This window comes from Homo sapiens, chromosome 1 (genome assembly GCF_000001405.40).
Source record: "Homo sapiens chromosome 1, GRCh38.p14 Primary Assembly".
Classification (NCBI taxonomy): Eukaryota; Metazoa; Chordata; class Mammalia; order Primates; family Hominidae; genus Homo; species Homo sapiens.
Window position 1 is genome coordinate 161,364,590 of NC_000001.11, and position 24,849 is coordinate 161,389,438.

General features: G+C 42.4%; 1 protein-coding gene, 1 long non-coding RNA gene and 1 pseudogene across 2 annotated transcripts, besides 1 other annotated feature; 1 reads left to right on the plus strand and 2 right to left on the minus strand.

Moving 5' to 3' along the window:
- CFAP126 (cilia and flagella associated protein 126) lies at nt 144-3,287 on the minus strand. Its single transcript, NM_001013625.4, has 5 exons — nt 3,253-3,287; nt 1,850-1,912; nt 1,609-1,689; nt 937-1,113; nt 144-561 (listed from the first exon to the last, which is right to left on the minus strand). The coding sequence occupies exons 1-5, from the start codon at nt 3,277-3,279 to the stop codon at nt 376-378; spliced, it is 534 nt and encodes a 177-aa protein (NP_001013647.2). The 5' UTR covers nt 3,280-3,287; the 3' UTR covers nt 144-375.
- Nucleotides 590-1,092: an enhancer, noted in NCBI's record as "NANOG hESC enhancer chr1:161334969-161335471 (GRCh37/hg19 assembly coordinates)". NCBI's record gives its function as "activates a minimal SCP1, AML or CMV promoter by ChIP-STARR-seq in naive H9 embryonic stem cells {active_cell/tissue: H9 hESC(naive)}" and the evidence as "EXISTENCE:reporter gene assay evidence [ECO:0000049][PMID:30033119]".
- On the minus strand, nt 12,212-14,781 carry RRM2P2 (ribonucleotide reductase M2 polypeptide pseudogene 2; annotated as a pseudogene).
- On the plus strand, nt 20,811-22,918 carry LOC124904443 (uncharacterized). Its single transcript, XR_007066693.1, has 2 exons — nt 20,811-21,009; nt 21,873-22,918. It is a non-coding gene; the product is annotated as an uncharacterized LOC124904443 (long non-coding RNA).
- The last annotated feature ends 1,931 nt before the right edge of the window (nt 22,919-24,849 follow it).

Sequence of the window (24,849 nt, forward strand, 5' to 3'; positions counted from 1 at the left end):
GTATAACTGACTCAATTCTTGTAAAAATGTGTTCCACCCAAACCACTGTATGTTCTTTTCCCTACTTTATTTTCTCCTACCTTCCTTCTCCTAATTGTGTTACAAGAGGCAGCCATAGCAAGAATGGAAAATCCAGATCAGTAAAAGATTCAACAAAAAAAAGTTTATTTTCCAAATTTGCTTTTACTCCCACCCCAAAATTTCCCTGTTTCACAGTTCTGACTGGGGGCTCTTGTTTATTTCACTGAGTCGCTATACGGGTTTTTCAGTGTGTGGCCACTTGGTCCATATGAAGTTCCAGGTTTGTATTTCTGGACCTCAGCTAGATTAGGCCCTGCCCAGAGTTCTAGCATACGTGGACTTCCAGGTGGGCTCTTAGGATTTGGCTGGTCTTTGGGGACCTGGAGTATGACCTGCAGAGGGGTGTGAGCTTTGGAGTTCATCTGGGGAATTGAGGTTGGCAGCTGGGGAGCTTGGAATTATGGTTGGACTTCGTGCTTGTTGTACAGTCTTTGTGATAGACTTCTTTCTGAGTTTCTTCTGACTGTCTGGATCATGGGGCTGTCAGTGATAAGAGTGGGAGAGATAGTCATGTCTCTGGTCAGGCCCGGATCATTCCTAATGCACCTCAGGATTCTAACTCCCTTTCTCCCCATACCATGGGCAGTAGATCAAGTTTCAAATAAGAAAAGTTAAATTTGATTTCTCTAACCACCCTCCCCCACCTTGAGATTAGATCATTTTCTACTGTTGGGGGTATGATGTCCTTAGCCCATCCCTTCAGGCCTCAGAAGGTGATTAAGGACTAGTCAAGATAAGACAAATTGGTTAGAGGTCCCCCATGCTGGGATAGTGGTGGCATAACAATAGACATTTTTTGAGGTTGAAAAGAAATTGAGACTACAGGGTTTTGGGTTAGATGGGAAGAATAGATACCTTGCCTAAGATTTCAGGACACAGCCCATTGGAGGCCTTGAGTAAATCAGGATTTTTCTGTATCCATTTGGTGAGGGAGGCAGCACCAGCAGTTGTACGGGAGGTCAGGGTCACCCGAGCAGGGGGTATCTTCAGAGGCATTTGCCAGGTGCCCATGAAGGAACCCCAAGGATTTGCCTAAAAATGAAAAGGGATTCCTCAGTAGGGCTTCTCACTCCCAGTAACTGACTTAGACCTCTGTATTATTTCCTTTCTTTACCTTTAGGAATGCATGGTTATGAAACAAGACTGAAAGCATAATCTTCCCACCCTTCCTTATCCCCCTCCCTCATTTAGGCTTTGCAGGCCTAATTTTTTCATCCCCTTTACTCTGCCAACTTAAATTCCACATCCTTAGGCCGAGTGTGGCAAAGGAGTACCCACTGCACAAATGTCATCACCTGAAGGCTTTCATTTATACAGATCATTGATCAATTTAAGAACTTCTGAAGGGTGCTAAACACAACTCTATCCTGCTGGGTAAGCTGGCCGGAAGTTCAGGGGCTCTCACATTACAACATGAATTAGATTAAACTTTAATTTTCCCGATAATGGCTGTGAGAGACTGCACATCTCCCAGTTCTGTGCCTTAATTATTTGACTTTCTTGATAGGAGTGAAGATAGTATCTCACCTTGGAACGGGGCACAGAAGGCAGTAGATGACCACGATCGTTGGCAATAATTTGAGTGTAGCCTTCATGAGAAGAGATGCTCTGGGGTACAAGTGGGAGAGATAAAGGTTTGTGAGGGGAAAAAGGGAAGTATTTGGGGAGCTTGGTCAGAGAAGGATATGGGAGTTTAGAGAATGCTAAAAGGAGTTAATTGACAGGGAGAGCATGAGGCTATCTTGTAGGTGCACTGAACATGGAATACCTCTTTTGTTGGCTTAGTGGGAGACCAGTTCTGCAGATACTTGGATGAGAAAGCCTTTTCATACTGTGGAGAGAAAGATAAGTAGCCCTATGAGACTTCAAGGCCCCAAACCCAGGAAATGAAGACTAGGCACAATTCTTTAGATTTGAAGACCAAAGGCCTGACCAACCATGTAGGCTTTAAGTCACTATGACAAGGGTGTAATTTGTTTGGTCTAGATGTGTGCTGTCCAGCATGGAGCCGGGAGCCACATGGAGCTGTTGAGCACCTGAAATATGACTAGTTCAAATTGAGGTGCTTTGTAAATATGAAATATGCTGAATTTTTAAGTTTTTTTCTTTTCTTTTTTTTTTTGAGATAGGATCTTGGTCTGCCACCTGGGTTGGAGTCAGTGGCATGATCCTAGCTCACTGCAGCCTTGGACACCTGGGTTCAAGCGATCCTCCTCCCTCAGACTCACAGGTAGCTGGGACTACAGGTGCATGCCACCATGTCCAGCTAATTTTTAAATTTACTTGTAGAGACGAGGTCTCACCATATTGCCCAGGGTGGTCTCAAACCCCTGGCCTCAAGCGATCCTTGTGCCTCAGCCTCCCAAAGTGTTGGGATTACAGACGTGAGCTACAACACCCAGCAGGTTTTGGAGATTTAGTACAAAAAAAGAACGTAAAATGTCTGATTATAATTTTTTAAATACTGATTAAATGTTGAAATAATATTTGGATTTATTGGGTTAAATTCAATATATTTAAATTTTATGTTTTAATTTTTTCATGTAGCTACTAGAAAATTTAAAATTACATTTGTGGGTCGCACTCTTTTTGTTGGGCAGCACTGGTCTAGATCAGGAGTTGGTAAACTATGGCCTATGGGCCATATCCATATTGCTGCCTGTTTGGGGATGGCCTGAGAGTAAGGGTGATTTTTATAGATGAACATTTACAATTGATTCAGTCAAATGGAACACTAACTTTGAATCCCAGTTAAGTGAAATGTTTTCTCAACCCCCAAAATTCCATTATTTTCATTAGTAGTACAAAAAATTGTACTCAGTTATATTTTGAATTTGTCAAAAATGTTATGGAAAAATGTTTTTCTTTAATTATGCAAGTAGCTACAGAATATTTTTGACTTTGCCACTTGGCCTGCAAAGCCTAAAATTTTTACACTCCGCCCTTTTACAGAAAAAAAATTGCCAACTTCTGGTTTACACCCTACAAATTTAACCAAGAGATACCTTTGGATCGCCCCTGGGCTCTCTCTATCCCTGAGGAGGTAAAATATTATCTCACTCCACTCTCAGCTATCTGTTCAAAGATCAGAATCCTATGAGAGGGGACAGTCCAAAGATAGAATCTGAAAAACAAAAGTAAACGTTAAAGAAATGGAGAATGGGAACTTACCTGGTTGGCACTGTAGTTAGTGGCCATGATCTTGTGCTGTTTACACTCGTTGCTTGGCAACTGCAGAAGGCCGACCTCCTGGGACTACCAATGAGCAGAGGCTGCCTTTCTCTTCTGCTTATTATTATTCACTTCCTTGGCTCACACTGCCCCCATTTGTTTTCTCTGGAACTTAGATTCATTTTTATTTTACAGACGGGAAAGACTGAGTAAATGTGAGAAAATTAGCTGAATAGCCACTACTTTTTTTCTGGCATAACCTACCCCTGCTTAAGAACTTCCACGGGCCTTTGATTGGGGTTTTTAACCACTTTAACAAACCATGTAACCCTGAGAGCTATGCTTGTTGGACAACATGGTGTAATGTACCACAGGCTGTAGAGCCAGATACTGGGGTTTGAATCCTTATTCAACATGGGAACATAGGAGCTATATGACATTAAACAACTGTCTTGTCTTCACTAAATTTCTATCAACTCATTTGTATTGTGGGGATAATAGAGCCTGCTTTTACAGGGTAAGTGAGATAAAATGAATAAAGTGTCTAGACAATATCATAGCATAGTAGGTATTCAATCCTGGTGAGATCCTGTTTATAAGGCCCACTACTTTGTCTTATCAGGCAGAATAACAAAGGAACAATATTTAAAAAGCAACTAGCTCAAATCTGTCCCCAGAAGGAAAAACATATCTTGTCCTTGGTCCTTAAAAAATTTCCTCTGTCACTGTCTAGAATCAGCACCTAAGAACACAGGCGTTTAGTGTTGACTGGAATAAAATGGAATCGGGTGCTGGTGCAGGGAGATTGAGCAGGGATGAAGAGAGAAAATCACAGAGTGGAAAGGATCAGGTTTGGAGAGTTCAATGGGGGGCTGCCAGGACATAAGCCTAATATGTGTGGGACAAGGAAACCCCTCTGAAACTCATAAAATGGTATTGTAATACCCATCTATGAGGTGGTTAGGAGAATTAATAAGTAAGTAGAACTGTGCTTTGTGAATTGTAAAGTGAATTTATATATAAGGTGTCAAGATGAAAGGGAAAAACTAAGAAATAAGTTGCCCAAAGATATCATTAGGACCAGGAGACCATTATAAAGTATATCCAGGCCGGGCACGGTGGCTCATGCCTGTAATCCCAGCACTTTGGGTGGCCGAAGCAGACGGATCACAAGGTCAGGAGTTCGAGACCAGCCTGGCCAACATGGAGAAACCCTGTCTCTACTAAAAATACAAAAAATTAGCCAGGCATGGTGGTGCATGCCTCTAATCCCAGCTACTCGGGAGGCTGAGGCAGGAGAATTGCTTGAACCCGGGAGGCGGAGGTTGCAATGAGCAGAGATCATGCTACTACTGCACTTCAGCCTGGGCGACAGCGTGAGACTCCGTCTCAAAAAATAAAAAATAAATAAAGTATATCCATCAGTCCCTTCTCTTTTCCTTCTTCCCCCAAAATCCTCATCTTAACCAACACACCAAGTATAAGAGCACTCCTATGCTTCTGCAGATGGAGGGAAGAACAGCTCTTGTTTTATAGGCTCTGGAGTTAATACCTGGATAATGTGAGATCTGGAAAGATAACTCATGAGCTTAGTCCCTGTGGTTCTTATCACTCTCTAGAGAAGAGTTCTTTAAGGACCAAGGACTATCTTTGCTCTAGGATATCCATTTTGGCCCTTTAATCTGCAATGATAGGCTAGCATTATTTCTCTTAGAATTTGTCTTCAGTTGGTATGCCTCCCTCTGCCTTTCTGATAGGAATGTAATGATAAATGATGACTGCACTCATTTTTAAAAGTTAACCAGTTTTTGTTCAATTGAAAAAGTAATGTACATGGAAAAAATTTCATGTTTACAGGATGTTCAGTGAAAAGCAAATCTCCATTTGATTTCAACTCTCAGTCTTGCTCCTCAGGGCAACTGCTGTTACTCATTTCTTGTGTCTCCTTCCAGAAATCTTCTCTGCATACAAACACTAATGAGAGAGCTGTCCACATTGCTTTTTGATTTGCTTTTTGACTATCTTGGGGATTATGTTTTTATCATAATATTCCATTTTGGGATGCACCATAGTTTGTTCAGACCCATATGGATGACCATTTAGTTTATTTATAGTCTTTTGCTAATAAGGACATTGCTGTAATGAAAAATCCCTATGTATCTTTATGAATATGTATGTATGTATTTTTATGTACATATGTGATCTGTAGGATAAATGTTTTAAAGTACATTGCAAAGTCAAAAGGGTTTGTGCATTTAAAATAAGTAGATAGGCCGGGTGCGGTGGCTCACATCTGTAATCCCAGCACTTTGGGAGGCTGAGGCGGGCGATCACGAGGTCAGGAGATCGAGACCATCCTGGCTAACATGGTGAAACCCCATCTCTACTAAAAATACAAAACATTAGCTGGGCGTGTGGCGGGGGCCTGTAGTCCCAGCTACTCAGGAGGCTGAGGCAGGAGAATGGCGTGAACCCAGGAGGCGGAGCTTGCAGTGAGCCACGATCGCGCCACTGCAGTCCAGCCTGGGAGACAGAGCGAGACTCCGTCTCAAAAATAAATAAATAAATAAAATAAAATAAGTAGATAATGTCAAATTACCACTGAAAGACATTGTGCCAGTTTGTACTTCTACCAGTGGTGTATGATGGCGTATGAGTGCCTAGTTCTCTGCTTTCTTTTCAACATCATCGTTTTTTCTTTTTTTTTCAGTTTAAACCAATTTTAATTGAACTAATAGAATTGAACTAATAGAACTAATTGATTGAACTAGTAGAACTAATGTTAACTGAGCAGTTACTATATACATGCCAGGCACAGTTCTAATTGCTTTACTACATTTTCTCATTTAGTTCTCAACCCAACCAAGGAAACTGGAGAATACACAGTGAGGAGTAGAGCCAGGATTTAATCCCAAGTATTCTGACTCTAGAGCCAGCAGTTTTAACCATTATATCATATTGCTTGTTAAGCTGTAGGTTAAACATGGTATATAATTTTATTTTTTGTTTTTGTTTTGAGACGGTCTCCCTGCCGCCTAAGCTCTGGAGTGCAGTGGTTCCATCAATATCCTGAGGTCAAGCAATCCTCCCACCTTAGCCTCCCAAGTAGTTGGGAGTATAGGCATGAGCTACCATGCCCAGCTAATTTAAAAAAACAAATTTTTTTTAAGAGATAGGGTCTTAACTATATTGTTCCTCTTGTCTTGAATTCATGGCCTCAAGTGATTCTTCGACCTCTGGAAGTGTTGAGATTACAGGCACGAGCCACCACACCCACCCAACATGGTATATCATTGTTTTAAATTTGCATTTCTTTAATTAGGGTGTTTTTATATGTGTATAAACTGTTTTTATTTTAATTTTTTTCCCTGAAAATGGCCTTTAATGTATTTTGCCACTTACTATTGGGCTGTTGACTTTTTTTTTTGAAACCAGTCCTCCCTCTGTCACCCAGGCTGGAGTGCAGTGGCATCATCTTGGTTCACTGTAACTTCTGCCTCTCAGGTCCAAACAATCCTCCCACCTCAGCCTCCCGAATAACTGGAACTACAGGGATGCACCACCACACCCAGCTGATTTTTTAATTTTTTTTGTAGAGATGGGATTTTGCCATGTTGCCCAGGCTGGTTTTGAACTCCTGGGCTCAAGCCATCTGCCCACCTCAGCTTCCCAAAAAGCTGGGATTACAGGCTTGAGCCACTGCACCCAGCCTGTTGATCATGTTCATTAATCTGTTTGAACTCCATATATTAAGGAAATTAGTCCTTTGTCAAATATGTTGCAAATATTCCCTCCAATTTGTCACTTACTTTCATTTTGTTGGTGGTTTTTCTGTTTTGTTGTTGTTTTTCTGTGGGTTTTTTTTTTTTTTTTTGCCATGGACATGTTTTTAGTACTTATGTAGTAGTCAGATGTATTACTCATTTTTTCTGTGCTCTGGATCTTATGCTTTGAATGGCTTTTTGTGAATTCCAATATTTTAAAAATAATTTACCCCTAGCTTCAGTTCTTACATTTAAATATTTGTTCCTTCTGGAATTTTAGTGAATGTGGACAAGGTTATGCTTCAGTTGCCTTAACTAGTTGCCTTGGCATCATTAATAAGTTTTCTTTTCCTCTACTGATTTGAAATGCCATTTTTAATGTATTCCCTAACATATTTGGGTCTGTTTCTGGATCCTCTAACCCACTGTTCTAGAGAGAAAGGTGATCGTTTTAGATTATTTGTCTCTCTGTAATCTAAAATCCAAGGTACACGCTGGGCACAGTGGCTCACACGTGTAATCCTAGCACTTTCGGAGGCTGAGGCAGGTGGAACAGTTGAGGACAGAAGTTCGAGACCAGCCTGACCAACATGGCGAAACTCTGTTTCTACTAAAAATACAAAAATTAGCTGGGCATGGTGACACGTGCCTGTAGTCCCAGCTACTCGGGAGGCTGAGGCAAGAGAATCGCTTGAACCCGGGAGGTGGAGGTTGCAGTGAGCCGAGATTGCGCCACTGCACTCCATCCCCCGGGCGACAGAGTGAGACTCCATCTCAAAAAAAAGAAAAAAAAAGGCCAGGCGCGGTGACTCACGCCTGTAATCCCAGTACTTTGAGAGGCTGAGACGGGAGGATCACGAGATCAAGAGATGGAGACCATCCTGGCCAACATGGTGAAACCCCGTCTCTACTAAAAATACAAAAATTAGCTGGGCGTAGTGGCGCGCGCCTGTAGTCCCAGCTACTCCAGAGGCTGAGGCAGAAGAATCGCTTGAACCCGGGAGGCGGAGGTTGCAGTGAGCCGAGATTGCGCCACTGTGCTCCAGCCTGGCGACAGAGTGAGACTCCGTCTAAAAAAAAAAAAAAAAAAATCCAAGGTGGAGTCCTGGCTTGATCCTATGTGAATTCTAATATTTAAGATTTCAGGCCGGGCGCGGTGGCTCAGGCCTGTAATCCCAGCACTTTGGGAGGCCCAGGGGGGTGGATCACAAGGTCAGGAAATCGAGAGCATGCTGGCTAACACGGTGAAACTCCGTCTCTGCTAAAAATACAAAAAATTAGCCCGGCGTGGTGGGGGGTGCCTGTAGTCCCAGCTACTCGGGAGGCTGAGGCAGGAGAATGGCGTGAACCCGGGAGGTGGAGCTGGCAGTGAGCCGAGATCGCGCCACTGCACTCCAGCCTGGGCGACAGAGCGAGACTCCGTCTCAACAAAAAAAAGATTTCACTAGGAAATTGTAATATCAGTAGTAACAGGCAATTTTAAGCTTCTAATAAAAGTGTATTGAATTTTAGCCTTTCTTCAGATGAACTGGTTGACTTCAGGTACAGCAGATGGTCTTTTACTAGGACCAGATTTACTTCTTCCAAAGTTGGAAGGGCTCTTTAAAGGCCCCATCCTTTACGTATGCCTTAAGATACTTTTTTCCATTCACTTAAATTCTTTGATGACTGAAACTAAACCATTAGGAAATCTTTTATTTGGACTGAGATTATCTGCTATTGAAGTACAAGTTTAACCTGTACTCTATAGGCGATGTGTACATTGGACCTACGTGAAGGCAACCACCAGCATAAGTACTAGAGTCACATTGCCTGGATTAAATTCTGGCTTTGCCTAAATGTGTGGCCTTACACAAGTTAATCTTTCTGGGTCTCAGTACCCTTACATGTAAAATGGGGATAATCTTAGTTTTGAGCATTAAATATATGTAACATGCTAATAGGGTGCAAGATGCATAATGAATGCTCAATTATTTTAGCATTATTATTGGCTTAAGACTGCCAAGTAAGAAGTACTCATTCAGGTTACCTTAAACAAAAAAGGGGAAGTGGGGAAATTATAATTAATAGGAGTATTTAACAGATTCCAAAGGTAGGAAGTATAGTTTGGGCTTCAAAGGATACTAGAATTTCAAAGATAGAACATGATCAGAAAGATTTTCTGTTTCTTCTTTATCATCTCTGTTTCTCACTGCCTTTATTCTTTTCTTTTCTTTTTTTTTTTTTTTTTGAGATGGAGTTTCGCTCTTGTTGCCCAGGCTGGAGTGCAATGTGCGATCTCGGCTCACCGCAACCTCCGCCTCCCGGGTTCAAGCGAGCGATTCTCCTGCCTCAGCCTCCCGAGTAGCTGAGATTTTAGGCATGCACCACCACACCCGGCTAATTTTGTATTTTTAGTAGAGACAGGGTTTCTCCATGTTGGTCAGGCTGGTCTCGAATGCCTGACCTCAGTTGATCCGCCCACCTCAGCCTCCCAAAGTGCTGGGATTACAGGCGTGAGCCACCGCGCCCGGCCTCCCATGGCAATTTTTAAAACCAGAAAAAATTATTAGTAACCCCTTCATAGTAAAAATGGGGCATTTATCTCATCTATTACACAGTGTAACCACCTGAATCACTGTCTCTAGTTATACCATCAGCTCTCTACTAAGGTTTCTTCTAAGTAGCTCCAAGGTGCCCTCCATGTCACCTCACTGGGTCAGGTGTTGATGGGTCTTGGATAGGAGACCTGGCTTTTGCCCCATTTCCTGGGCTAACAGGATTTCATCCAACCAAGCTACTGGCCAAATTTTGAACTATTCAAACACCCTGGTTTTTGTAGATTTCCTTATAGGAAATGAAGGCGTAGTTCTGACCCCTGAAGAGATGCATGGCTACAAATGTAAAAGCTATAGTTTCAAAACTTCTCTATAGAGTTAAAATAGCTGATCCAGTTTTCTTTCCTGAGACTAAGGCTCCCTCTCTCGGAGACTGCTGTTACATCTCTCCTTTCCACTGACAATACCACAAAAGAATAATATTCTTGATAAGATCCCCTTCCTGAGGAGCCAAAGAACAAGCTTTGTATACTCCCCACACACTGCCTATGGGGTAGCCCTCTCTGCAGCATTCATAGAGCTATTTAACACTATTTCTTTTTCTTTTCTTTCATTCCTTTTTTTTTTTTTTTTTTTTTGAGACAGAATCTTGCTCTGTTGCCCAGGCTGGAGTGCAGTGGCACCATCTCAGCTCACTGCAACCTCCGCCTCCCAGGTTCAAGTGATCCTCCTGCTTCAGCCCCCCTCCATAGCTGGGATTATAGGCACACACCAGCATGCCCTGCTAATTTTAGTATTTTTAGTAGAGACAGGGTTTCGCCATGTTGGCCAGGCTGGTCTGGAACTCCTGACGTCAGGTGATCCACCTGCCTTGGCCTCCCAAAGTCGTTGGATTACAGGCGTGAGCCACTGTGCCTGGCCTATAACACTATTTCTTAAAACAAAACAAAAAGACCAAAGAACAAGCTTTAAACAACCAAAATGACTGAAAAGACATCAGTATCTCTCACTAGTGGTGTGAATTAAGTTTGTTTACTTGCATAACTAAGAATAAATGATGGTTATAATGGCACCAGTATAGGATATCTTGGCTATGTGCTTTAACAATATACAGGTTGACCATGAAGTCTGGAAATAGATACTATTATTTTATCATGTATTTAAATATATTAATAAACCATTAATATGTATTCATTAACTTTTCCACATTTCTTGGCAATCTTGTAAATATAGTACAACTATCAGTAAAGAGAGATTAGGGGGCTGGGCACGGTGGCTCACGCCTGTAATCCCAGCTTTTTGGGAGGCTGAGGCAGCGGATCACTTGAGGTCAGGAGTTCAAGACCAGCCTGGGCAGCATGGTGAAACCCCGTCTCTACTAAAAATACAAAAACTAGCCAGCTGTGGTGGCACACGCCTGTAGTCCCAGCTACTTGGGAGGCTGAGGCAGGAGAATTACTTGAATCCGGGAGGCGGAGGTTGCAGTCAGCCGAGATCGTGCCGCTTTAGTCCAGCCTGGGCGACAGAGCGAGACTCCGTATCAAAAAGAAAGAAAGAAAGGGTTTAAATAAAGAAAGAGAGAAAGAATGGGTTTACCTACCTATTAAAAGAAAATAGTTTTCACATTGACAAAGCAAAGTCCAACACTGTGCTATATAAAAGAGCTACATCTAAGAAGAGTTTCAGGAAGCCTAAATAAATGACTAAGAGATGTACCAGAATTTATTCCTAAATGTAAGCAGGGGTTGCAGTTGTAATTATCCATCAAAGTAGAATTCTGACTAAAAAGCATTACTTTTAATGAGAAAAGAGAAAGAAATTTTAGCCACAATTTTTATAAAGATAATGACATTTTATACAAGGAGAAATAGAAGCACACTATAATAGGAGGACTAACAAATCCCTCAGATCTAGAAAGGTCAAGTGAACAATAAGTTAGGATACAGAAGACCTAAACAACATAATAAATATATTTAAGTAGATTTAATAATATTAAACTCTGAACCTTAATAATAGAGAATAAACTTTTTAAAAAAATGCGTAAAGGGCTGGGCGTGGTGGCTCATGCCTGTAATTCCAGCACTTTGGGAGGCCGAAGCGGGTGGATCATGAGGTCAGGAGTTTGAGACCAGCCTGGCCAACATGGTGAAACCCCATCTCTACTAAAAATACACAAAATTAGCTGAAGATGGTGGTGGGCGCCTGTAATCCCAGCTGCTCGGGAGGCTGAGGCAGAATTGCTTGAACCCAGGAGGAGAGGTTGCAGTGAGCCGAAATCGTGCCACTGGACTCCAGCTTGGGCGACAGAGTGAGACTCCATATCAAAAAAAAAAAAAAAAAAGAAAAAGAAAAAAAGAAAAAAATGCATAAAGCATTCACAAAAATGTGGCACATTCACATCCTAAGCTACAAAGAAAATCTCAGTGTATCCAAAGTGAAGAAACAATAATTCAAATAGTATTATCTGACCAAAATGTAATACAATTAGACAAATCAAACAATAAAACAAAAAGGCCTCTTCCAAAGGGAATTTTATTTGCACACACTCACACTCACTCTCCCATACATTTCCCCAAAGGGAAATTTCAGAACGTGTTAAACCACTCCTGGGTCAAGGGGGAAATGCAAAATAAATTGCAGGGGTTTGTTTTTGTTTTTCTGACAATGCAAGGCAAAGCCTTTATTCATTTTAATGTTGCACAAGTGTAAGGACCATATAATCTGGGTTTATTTAGGTAACAATAAAAGATAGAAAATCTCATATTACAGAAATTTTAAAATTGACTATATAATAAATGATTAGGAAAACTAAAAATAGAACAGGACAATGTTCAAATAGATAATAAAATTAACAAATGGGGCCAAAAGATCAACACATATCCTGCATCATCTTTCATGTAGTGTCTCAGCTTTCTTTTTCCCAAACATAAAGGCAGATTAATTCAAACTAGCCCTATTAAGAATATTAGTTTGCCAGGTGCAGTGGCTCAAGCCTGTACCCAGCCTAAAAAATATTTTCTAATTTCAAAGACATGTAGGCCGGGCGTGGTGACTCATACATGTAATCCCAGCACTTTGGAAGGCCAAGGGGGGCGGGTCACCTGAGGTCAGGAGTTCGAGATCAGTCTGGCCAACATGGTGAAACCCCGTCTCTACTAAAAATACAAAAATTAGCCCACCACCACGGTGGGCCCTGTAATCCCACTTACTCGGAAGGCTGAGGCAGGAGAATGGCTTGAGCCCGGGACGCAGAGGTTGCAGTGAGCCAAGATCTCACAACTGCACTCCAGCCTGGGCAACAGAGCGAGACTCTATTAAAAAAAAAAAAAGGGCCATATAGTAAATGTAAATGAATTAACTATTAACTCACACAACCTACTTAAACAAGACTAGAATAAACAACTTTTAGGAACCAACTCCAGTTGATTTCACCACCTAACAGGAGCAAGATCTTAGGTGGGTCATTTTGTTTAAGGATGACTTGAAATTTTACAATGCCACTGTAGTCCCCACATATAAAAACTCTTCAATAATTTTTTCTTATCAACTAGAAGTTGGGGAAAATATAGTGAGAAATAAAATGATATGGCTTCTCACACATATGAAGGCCCAGATCATGCCTAAATTTCTCATCTGTCTTTGCCGTGAGAGATTCCTTAATCCACAACACTCTACTCAGATAGGACAGAGAATCCCAGGACACTCCCCAGGCCACAGGATAAAAAACACTACCTGTCTTCTATCTGGCACCAACAGACTAATATCTAGCTATATACAGGATTGACTTTAAAGTTGATTAAGGAATATTTTAATTCATTCAAGAAAATAAAATTTAGAAATTATATGCTTAGTCTACACAAGTTTAACTTACTTTAGTTACTTAGTGAATTTTGAATTGGCTCCAATTAGTGGTCAGCAGAATACTTTGGTGTAGAAACCAAATAAATCAAGCTATTATTACCTTGATAGTACAAACAATGTTTGTAAAGTGCCAGTTTTATATTTAAGTAAACAAAATCTGCTTTGAAGTAGGGAGGCTGCATCTTTCAACTGCCTGTGCTAGTTAAGTGAATGTTTAATCCTGCTGGGCCAAGCTCACTAGAGAGTCACCCCTCACTTTAAAGCCAAGACTGCTGCTGTCACTGCTATGGTAAGTCACAGCCAGCCAGCCTGCTGGCAAAAGGTGATACCACCAGCATTATAAATAAACAGGCCTGGTCGTGAGGTAGCTACACAGTTTTAAAGATGCTGTTAATGGCCGGACGCGGCGGCTCAAGCCTGTAATCCCAGCACTTTGGGGGGCTGAGGTGGGTGGATCACCTGAGGTCAGGAGTTTGAGACTAGCCTGACCAACATAGAGAAACCCAGTCTCTACTAAAAATACAAAAACTAGCTGGGTGTGGTGGCGCATTCTTGTAATCCCAGCTCCTCGGGAGGCTGAGGCAGGAGAATCGCTTGAACTCGGGAGGCGGAGGTTGCAGTGAGCGGAGATCGCGCCATTGCACTCCAGCCTGGGCAACAAGAGCGAAAGTCCGTCTCAAAAAAAAAAAAAAAAAGAAAAAAAAAGAAGATATCTTCCACTGCAGCAAAGGCTACAACACATTCACCATAGGTAGCCTCTTTGTCCCCAATACAACTCAAGGCCCAATTTGCCTTCTTGACACAAGGTGTTTCAATGGTGTTGAAGAGAAATTCCCTTTCTTTGGCATCTTTTATGTAAGTGTCAATAAGGAGACTATACATTTCAGAATGTGTGTTTTCCATGGCAATTTGGAAGTCATAGAAACAGCGGGCTTCTGTAATCTGAACTTCTTGGCTAAATCGCTCCACCAAGTTTTCATTTACTATGCCATCACTTGCTGCAAAGAAAGCCAGAACACGGGATATAAAATCACTCTCCTCGGTCTCCTCGGTTTAAGGAAGCCTCCGCCTTCTTATACATCTGCCAAATATCATGGTACTCGTTGGGGAAGATGATAAAGTGGCGGGGTCTTCTCTCAGCAGTGGTTCATCCTCCACGCCAGGAGCAGCTATTTTAGTTTTCGGCTCCGCTGGTTCCTGGAAGATCCTCCTCGCCGCCTTGCTGGCCAGGATGCGAGTTCCGCTCAGGGTCGAGGGCGTGTTCTCCTTGTTGGCCAGACTGAGAACCTTCAGCAGCAAGAGCTGCTGTTGCTGTGGGTCAGCGATGGAAGTGATCCGGACGCGGACCGAGAGCATGGTGGTGGCGCGGGAGAAGTTTTTGAAAATAGCAATGAAAACCCCCAGAATTTATGGGAAACAGCAAAAACAGCTATGAGGGAAAGGTTTATAGCATTAAATACCTATATAAGTAAAAATAAATAACAATCCAACTCAAAATATTATACACAAAACCCAGGGTAAACCGAATGACACAAAAATAAGAAATTAGTAAAAATAAAGGCAGAAGTTAATGGGTTTGAAAACAACAACAATAACAATAACAATGGTAGCATTATATTAATTAAAGAATCCAAAACTGTTTCTTTGTAAAAATAATTTTGATAATTTCCTAGCTAAGGAAAGCACAAATCCATGAAACTGGAAATAAAGTGACACAAAAGAAGAAATTTGAAAAATATTCTTGTAAAAATATTTTAAAATCTACATTAAATGGATTTTTTTAGAAAATCCAATTTAACAAAATTTGCCCCTATAGAGACAGCAAATTTAAACCGGCCAAGTAACATAAAATAATCATAGAAACTAGTTAAGGAGTTCCCCTACAAAACAAAGCAGGCCCAGATCGTTTTACAGATGATTCTACCAAACTTTAAAAAACAAATCTTTAATTTTTAAAACTATTTTAGACTATGACAAAAAAGGGAAAACCCCCAAAATCATCTTGCAAAGTAAGTATAACATTGATTTCCAAACCTCAATTTTAGAATCGTGACAAAGACTGTAACAAAAAAAACCATTATAGATCAATTTCACTTTTGTATTAATATTGATACATATATATAAAACATTAGCAAAGTGAATCCAACAGCATGTTAAAAAATATTTATCATGACCAACTGGATAATATTCCAAAAATGCAAGAACATATAATATTAGGAAATCTATTAATATAATCCACCATATTAATTGATCTAAGGTGGAAAAAATGTTTGATTATCCCCATAGATGCAAATTGATAAATTTTACATAATAACAAAAAAAAGTAAAAAGACTAATGGGAAAAGAAATTTATAAATTACATTACAAAGGAGTAATATATTTGATTCAGGAAAAACTTCTAAAAATAGGGAAGAAAAAGACTAATAGCTCTGTAAAAAACTGGGCTAGAAAATGGGGCCAGCCTGATCTGTCCTAAAAATTTATTTTAGGCCGGGTGTGGTGTTTCATGCCTGTAATCCCAGCACTTTGGGAGGCTGAGATGGGCGGATCACCTGAGGTCAGGAGTTCGAGACCAGCCTGGCCAACATGGGAAACCCTTTCTCTACTAAAAATACAAAAAGTAGCTGGGCATGGTGGCATATACCTGTAATCCCAGCTACTTGGGAGGCTGAGGCAGGAGAATTGCTTGAGCCTGGGAGGTGGAGTTTGCAGTGAGCCAAGATCGTGTCATTGCACTCCAGCTTGGGCAACAAGACTGAAACACTGTCAAAAAAAAAAAAAAAAAAAAGATGGAATAGTTTTGTCAGTACATGAAAATGTGAGGGGGCCAGGTGTGGTGGCTCACACCTGTAATCCCAGCACTTTGGGAGGCCGAGGCGGTCTGATCACGAGGTCAGGAGTTCAAGACCAGCCTGGCCAAGATGGTGAAACCCCGTCTCTACTAAAACAGCAAAAATTAGCCAGGTGCAGTGGCAGACGGCTGTAATCCCAGCTACTCGGGAGCCTGAGGCAGGAGAATCGCTTGAACGCAGGCGGCAGAGGTTGCAGTGAGCTGAGATCTCGCCACTGCCCTCCAGCCTGGGTGACAGAGTGAGACTCAGTCTCAAAAAAAAAAAAAAAAAAAAAAAAAAAAAAGAAAGTGTGAGGGACTCTTAGTGGTTGTCTGTTTGTATGTATACTCCTCAGTAAAAGAGGGTTGTTTTGTGTATGTGTGTGTGTTTTTGTTTTTTTGTTTGTTTTTTGAGACGGAGTCTCGCTCTGTTGCCAGGCTGGAGTGCAGTGGCTCCATCTTGGCTCACTGCAACCTCCGTCTTCCGGGTTCAAGTGATTTTCCTGCCTCAGAGTCCCAAGCAGCTGGGACTACAGGTGCGCACCACCACGCCCAGCTAATTTTTGTATTTTTAGTAGAGACGGGGTTTCACCAGGTAGGCCAGGATGGTCTCGATCTCTTAACCTCGTGATCTGCCCGCCTCGGCCTCCCAAAGTGCTGGGCCTGGCCAAGTGTGCTTTTTTGTTTGTTTTTCATTACAAAAAGAAGAAGGGGCCAGGCACGGTGGCTCACGCCTGTAATCCCAGCACTTTGGGAGGCCGAGGCGGATGGATCACCTGAAGTCAGGAGTTTGAGACCAGCCTGACCAACATGGAGAAACCTCGTCTCTACTAAAAATACAAAAATTAGCTGGGCTTGGTGGCGCGCGCCTGTAATCCCAGCTACTCGGGAAGCTGAGGCAGGAGAATCACTTGAACCCAGAAGGCAGAAGTTGCAGTGAGCTGAGATCGAGCCACTGCACTCCAGACTGGGCGACAGAGCAAGACCATCTCAAAAAAAAAGAAAAAGAAAAAGGAAGCTGAGCTACAGATTAAACAAACATTTCATAGAGAAGGAAATACCATGGCCGGCTGCGGTGCTTATGCCTGTAATCCCAGCACTTCAGGAGGATCACTTGAGGTCAGAACTTCCAGACTAGCTGGGCAACATAAATGAGACCTCATCTCTACTAAAAATCAAGTGATTACCTTTAGGGAGAGAGAAGGAGTGATATGGAAGGTGTGGAGGTAGATGATAAACTTATTTAAATATGCCTTGTTTTATAGCGTTTATTTTGAAACCCAAGTATTTTACATAGTTATAAAACAAAATTTTAAAAATTTCTAAAATAAATAAATAAATTCTCTTCATTTTTACAACAAAAAGATTTTTAAAGAAGAGATAGTTGGCTATAATACAAAAGCTATATAAACAGTTAATACCTCTGCTTCCTCTCAACTTGACACAGATCATATTGTTTTCTTTCTTGAGATTAAGTCTCCCTCTAGTGGAGACTAGTTTTACAACTAATCCCCAACACCCAGCACCACAAAGGAAAATATCCTTTGCCTATTTCCTCCTGCTGCTGTAAAATTGTATATTTTAGGTATCAGAGTCTTGAGAAGGAGGACGTGGTAGAAGATACTGAGCAATGGGATAGTAAAGAGCTGGGGACAGAGTTAAGTTTTATAAGGAATTAGGGATATGAGAAGCTCTAAGAGCCAAGATTTGGGTTATTCAACTCAGAATGGGCAAGGAACCTCAGCTTCATGATGGTAAAAAATTCCACCACCTCTGCCCAGAAAAAGGTGATTCACATCCTGATATCACTGTGTACTCAGGGAAATAGCTCCCCACAAGGCATTGCATTAGGGAGAAACTATGGTGAGGAACAGCGATGAGCAGGACATGAAGAGTGATGGTCCTAAGCCAGATATGATGTCATGAGGGTGAACTCCAGGACCTCCTGTCCTTCAGGACGATCCCACAGTCTCACTAACCACTGAGGGCAGATGCAGAAAAGCTTTGCCTTCCCAGAGACTGATCAGGGGAAAAGGTACTGGCACAGCCTCTTCAGTTCCTGGCAGGGACGGGCAGAGACTAGCCCACATTGAAAGTGGCCCCTTGGGGGATTATGGGAGGATCCTTGTGTCCTGGGCTACCCTAGGTCTCATCTGATCTTGCACAGTGAAAGCTACTCATGGAAGAACTCCCTTAGCAGGGAAGCCGTTAGAGTGAAATCTTTCCTAACATTGACTCTGGTTTGTGGAAGTATATGACATTTTTCTCCATTCTCTGTAGCACTGTGGTCTTACCCTCTGAAGAGAATGTTTGTTGGTTGCCACCTCAGCATGTATCTTCCACCCCCTTTACAATTTTTGATAAGAACACAAAAAGAAATGAAGACTAAAAATGGCCCAGTTTCCTAAGATTGTTTTCTGATCCTATAAAATCTAATTCCTTAATGCAGCTCTGTGGTCCTGCTCTTTTGCATACCTAGCTTGAGAATGCTGTCTAGGAAGGGACTCATTTGAAGAATTATTATTTCTGCCAATTCCCACATCTTTCTTTCTCTTGCCTTCACTTCCTCCTTTAAGAGGTGAATTTTCAGACACATTAAAATTCTGGAGGAAAAAAGTGGGCTAATTAGGTGTGGTGACCCTTCCTGGATGCAAAATGTAGCATAATTCTCTAGGAATCCATCAACAAAGAAGATAGGCCATTGAGGAAGATATCTCTCTCCCCAAACATATTGGTTGCTAAAGGCCAGCCCCCAGACCATGATTCCTAAAGTAACAAAAGGTAATGTGAAAAATAATGGAATGTTATTTAGACTTGAAAAGGCAGGAAATTCTGACACATGCCAGAACATGGATGAAACTTGAGGACATTATGCTCAGTGAAATAAGCTAGTCATGAAAGGACAAATGCTGTATGATTCCACTGATATCAGGTACTTTGAGTAGCCAAATCATAGAACAGAAATTAGAAGAGTGGCTGCCAGGAGCTGAGGGGAGGGGTGATCGGGAGTTATTGCTTAATGAGTACAGAATTACAGTTTTGCAAAATGAAAAGAGTTCTGGAAATGGATAACGGTGATGGTTGCAAAACAATATGAATGTATTTAATACCACTGAGCTGTACACTCACAAATGGTTAGGATGATAAATTTTATGTTATATAATGTTACCACAATAAAAAAAATTGGGAAAAAAAGCAATATGACACTTACTGAGGACTGCCAAGGAGTAATGAAAGGAGATACCAGTGACTGATGCCAGGATGAGATCTTGTGTCTCTCTTTTTTTTTTTTTTTTTGAGACAGAGTTTTGCTCTGTTGCCCAGGCTGGAGTGCAGTGCCATGATCTCAGGTCACTGCAACCTCTGCCTCCTGGGTTCAAGCAATTCTCATGCCTCAACCTCCCGAGTAGCTGAGATTACAGGTGTGCACCACCATGCCCAGCTAATTTTTGTATTTTAGTAGAGATGGGGTTTCACCATGTTGGCCAGGCTGGTCTTGAACTCCTGACCTCAAGTGATCTGCCCGCCTCGACCTCCCAAACTACTCTAAATTTTACCCTCTCCCTTGTCTTTTGTCAGAAATCTTGCACAGAGTAATTTCCTAAAAAGTCTAGATCAAATTAAAAAACTAAAAAAAGAAGCTGGACTACAGTCTATCTAGATCAGTGTTGGTAGTCGCATCATCATTATAGTAGTGATTAAATTAAAATGTAACCAAAAAGGTTTAACTTATTTTTGCAACAACCAAATGTAAAACTAGAATAATAATAGCACATTTTGCATATGAAAAAATTGAAGCTTAGGAAAGTTAAGTAACTTCTCCAAGAACACACAGTAAGTTGTAGAACCAGTTACCAAACTCAGGTAGTCTGGCAAACCCCCACACCAGCCTGTTCCCAAAAGTCCAGACCCTGAAATCTGAAATCTCTAGCCTTCATCTAATTTGATTGGTTAAACAAATTGAATAAATTTATTTCCTACGGGAATGCTCAGATGTTTAATTTCTTTTCTTTTTTTTGAGACGGAGTTTTGCTCTTGTTACCCAGGCTGGAGTGCAGCCTTGTTACCCAGGCTGGAGTACTCGGCTCACCGCAACCTCCGCCTCCCAGGTTCAAGCGATTCTCCTGCCTCAGCCTCCCTAGTAGCTGGGATTACAGGCATGTGCCACCACACCCAGCTAATTTTGTATTTTTAGTAGAGACGGGGTTTCTCCATGTTGGTCAGGCTGGTCTCAAACTCCTGACCTCATGTGATCCACCCGCCTCGGCTTCCCAAAGTGCTGGGATTGCAGGCGTGAGCCACCGCGCCCGGCCTGTTTAATTTCCTAATGTTTACTGAGACTCTTCAAGAGTGGGAGAGGGATATAATATACAGCATTTCCTCAGTTTATTTAGCCACTGAATTTATTTTTTGTAAGCATCTCAAGGAACTTGAGCCCAAATTTTGCAAAACTGCATGTAATATACAATGTTGCTTTTGTTTGCCTTTTCCAGCTACTGTAAGAGAATATTTAAATTATTTTATCTCACTTAGAAACATTTTTAAATTGAGATATTGAGAACTTGATTTGCCCAAGGTCATAATCAGTTAATATTGGAATCAGAATGAGAATCTAGGTCTGGCCACAATTTCAGGTGTCTTCTTTTAAAGTTATTTATTTTTAAACACTTTTTTTTTTTTTGATACAGGATCTCACTCTGTCACCCAGGCTGGAGTGCAGTGGCAAGATCGAAGCTCATTATAGCCTCGACCTCCCCAGGCTCAGGTGATCCTCCAATCTCAGCCTCCCGAGCAGCTAGGCCCACAGGCTTGCACCACCATGCCCAGCTAATTTTTGTATTTTTTATAGAGACAGGGTTTCACCATGTCGCCCAGGCTTGTCTCGAACTCCTGGGCTCAAGTGATCTGCTTGACTCGGCCTCCCAAAGTGCTGGGATTACAGGCATGAGCCACCACTCCCAGCCTAAAGTTATTTTTTTAATTAGAGAAGGAATACTAGCAGATTTCATTGTAGCAAATCGAACAATACCAAGCAGTTACCTAGGTGAACTAAGTAAACCCCCATAGCACTAAGTCCTGGTTATCTATTTCTGTATAACCACTTTGAAATTTAATGGCTGTGGCAGGTTGTATTTTTCTTTTCTTTTTTTTTTTTTAAGAGGGAGTTTCCCTCTTGTTGCCCAGGCTGGAGTGCAGTGGTGCAATCTCGGCTCACTGCAACCTCCACCTCCTGGGTTCAGGCGATTCTCCTGCCTCAGCCTCCCAAGTAGCTGGGAGCCACGTTAGCTGCGCCACCACACCCAGCTAATTTTGTATTTTTAGTAGAGATGGGGTTTCTCCATGTTGGTCAGGCTGGTCTTGAACTCCTGACCTCAGGTGATCCGCCTGCCTCGGCCTCCCAAAGTGCTGGGATTACAGGCGTGAGCTATGGCGCCCAGCCAGGTTGTACTTTTTTCAAGAGAGTTGTAACAAGATATTCCACACCACATGCTCTTCTTTAGTGTGACACTCCTCCCATTAAGAGGTGGAGTCTGTATTCCTTCCTCTTGAACTTGGGTGGGCCTGTAGGTAAGGTGGAAGTGATGCAAGGTCAAAAAAGGTTATACATCTTCCACTTGATTGTCTTAGGAGTCACTCAGAATCCAGCCACCTTGGATATGAGGAAGCAGAGCAACCTCATGGAGAAACCACGTAGGTGTTCCTGCTGACAATCCTAGCCGAGATCCCAGCCAACAGCCAGCATAACCTCAGACATATGTTGAAGTAAATTAAAATGGAGACCAGGCCTGAAGAATCTCTGAGCAGACAAAACCAGTTAGGCCTCATAAGTGACCTCAACCTTGATTTACAAACACAAGGGAAACTTATGTTGAGCCATTTCTTGTAAATGCCTGTATTAAAGAAAAACAAAACTTAAGCTCAACCAATTGGAAGTAGCCAAAAACTTATATAACTAGGGACTTTCCAAGAAGGTGAATGAATGAATAAGGCAACTGTAAAATTGCAATCAATCAAATTATTTATTTTGCTCCACATTTACCCCATAAATACTTGCCCCTGATGATTTGTCATGAGAAAATTAAACTTCTTTTGGTTTGGTATTTCCCAATTCATTAATTGCTTCCTATTCAAATGAACTCTATTTTTTTTTTTTTTGAGATGGAGTCTCGCACTGTCACCTGGGCTGGAGTGCAGTGGTGCGATCTCGGCTCACTGCAACCTCTGCCTCCCCAGTCACACATTTCTCCTGCCTCAGCCTCCCAAGTAGCTGGGATTACAGGCGCGTGCCACCACGCCTGGCTAATTTTTTGTATTTTTAGTAGAGACGGGGTTTCATTATGTTGGCCAGACTGGTCTCAAATCCTGACCTCGTGATCCACCCGACTCGGCCTCCCAAAGTGCTGGGATTACAGGCATGAGCCACAGCACCCGGCTGGTCAAATGAGCTCTTAAAATTTTTTTTTTGTGCCTTAGTTTACCTTTTACATATGTGAATGAGCAACTCCAAATGATTCCAGCCCCAAGCTTTTAAGTCATCTCAGGCTTCCAAGTCTTCTCAGCTGAAGTCTCAGTGATTCTGAAGCAGAGACAAGTCATCCCCACTATACCCTTTCCGAATTCTTGACCCACAGAATCCATGACATAATAAACTGGTTGCTGTTTTGTACCAGTAAGTTTGGAGTGGTTTGTTACACACCAATAGGTAATTGGAACACTCCCTTATCTTCCCCGAGGTAGCATCTTGGTGAAGGTGGAGCAACCAATGACCTAGAGGTAGCAGAAAACGGAGGCAACCTCAGGTCCCTGTGGCTGGACTCTGGCACCCTAATGCTCTCCGATGTGTTGGACTGGCCTTGTCCCTGGGTACCCTGTGCTGAGCAAGGTGCAGCTTTTTTCTGCTGGGCCTTTTGGAGTATCATCCTAACATGAACTTCTCAAGTCCGTGGTCTCATACCATTCTATTTGCCTCTAGTTGCCAAGTCCCTGCCCAGTGGGCTTCCTTGTCTTATTCCCAGACTTCTACAAAAGACATTTATTCTTGTCTATGTATCTTCCCTTAGAAGGAGATGGGAGTCAAATCTGTTCAAAATCCATTCCTCTCTCCATACCCCCAACTCCTGATAGGGCTGGGTGAAGTTCTCACCACCTACTCCTAAGGGTTTTTATTTATTTATTTATATTTATATTTATATTTTTTTTGAGACAGAGTGTCGCACCCAGGTTGGAGTACAGTGGTGTGATATCGGCTCACTGCCAGCTCCGCCTCCCCTCCCGGGTTCATGCCATTCTCCTGGCTCAGCCTCCCGAATAGCTGGGACTACAGGCGAACGCCACCATGCCTAGCTAATTTTTAATATTTTTAGTAGATACGGGGTTTCACCGTGTTAGCCGGGATGGTCTCGATCTCCTGACCTCGTGATCCGCCCGCCTCGGCTTCCCAAAGTGCTGGGATTACAGGCGTGAGCCACGGTGCCCGGCCTCCTAAGGGTTTTAAAATCCATTCCTGGCCGGGCGCGGTGCTCAGGCCTGTAATCCTAGCACTTTCAGAGGCCCAGGTGAGCGGATCATGAGGTCAGGAGTTCGAGACCAGCCTGACCAACATGGTGAAACCCGTCTCTACCAAAAATACAAAAATTAGCCGGGTGTGGTGGCGTGCGCCTGTAATCCCAGCTACTCTGGAAGCTGAGGCAGGAGAATCTCTTGAACCCGGGAGGGGAGGCGGAGGTTGCAGTGAGCCGAGATAGCACCACTGCACTCCAGCCTGGGCGACAGAGCCAGACTCCGTCTCAAAAATAAAATAAAAATAAATAAATAAAATCCTTTCCCTCAGGAGCAGGAGGCTTAGATTCCTTCCAGCACTGGCCTTGCCTTCAGGGTTTCACTGGTATATTTGGGGAGTGTTCTGCAAGGGGTGTAAAAGTGAGCAGCTGCATTTGTTCAAGGCAGCAGGAAGTACTGCTGGGACCCCAAACCCAGCCTCCTGCAGTTTCCTCACTGCCTCACCTTGTGGCCAGAAGAAGCTAGGCAATCCACCCCTTCCATGGTAGGGCCGGGGCTCATGTTCCTTTATTTGGTTCGAACCTCAGTTTACCTCTCCAAGGACTCCAAGATAAAAGCACATTCTTTGTAGGACTGGTTTCAAGTGATGCACCAGTGTAAAAAGGGATTTGCGGGCAATCAGTATAAATGATTTGGGTTTGGATTTAGCTCCGTCACTTAATATAAGGGGATCTTGGGCATGTCTCTACAATTTTATTTCTTCATCTGTAATATCTTGATAATGGTTACTTCATAAGATTATTAAAAGGATTAGATGACACTGTAAATTACTTAGCCTTACAGAAAGTAAATGTAAAGCAGGCCACGCACGGTGGTGGCTCACGCCTTAATTCCAGCACTTTGGGAGGCCGAGGCGGGTGGATCACCTGAGGTCGGGAGTTCCAGACCAGCCTGACCAACACGGAGAAACCCCCATCTCTACTAAAAATACAAAATTAGCTGGGCGTGGTGGCACATGCCTGAAATCCCAGCTACTCGGGAGGCTGAGCCAGGAGAATCGCTTGCACCTGGGAGGCGGAGGTTGCAGTGAGCGGAGATCGCGCCA

Coding starts and splice junctions, on each gene's coding strand:
- CFAP126 (NM_001013625.4), bottom strand. CDS start 3,279: ATGGCCACTAACTACAGTGCCAACCAG. Junction 1,913..3,252: donor CTAACTACAGTGCCAACCAG/GTAAGTTCCCAT, acceptor TTCTCTCCACAG/TATGAAAAGGCTTTCTCATC. Junction 1,114..1,608: donor CTTCTGTGCCCCGTTCCAAG/GTGAGATACTAT, acceptor TTTCATTTTTAG/GCAAATCCTTGGGGTTCCTT.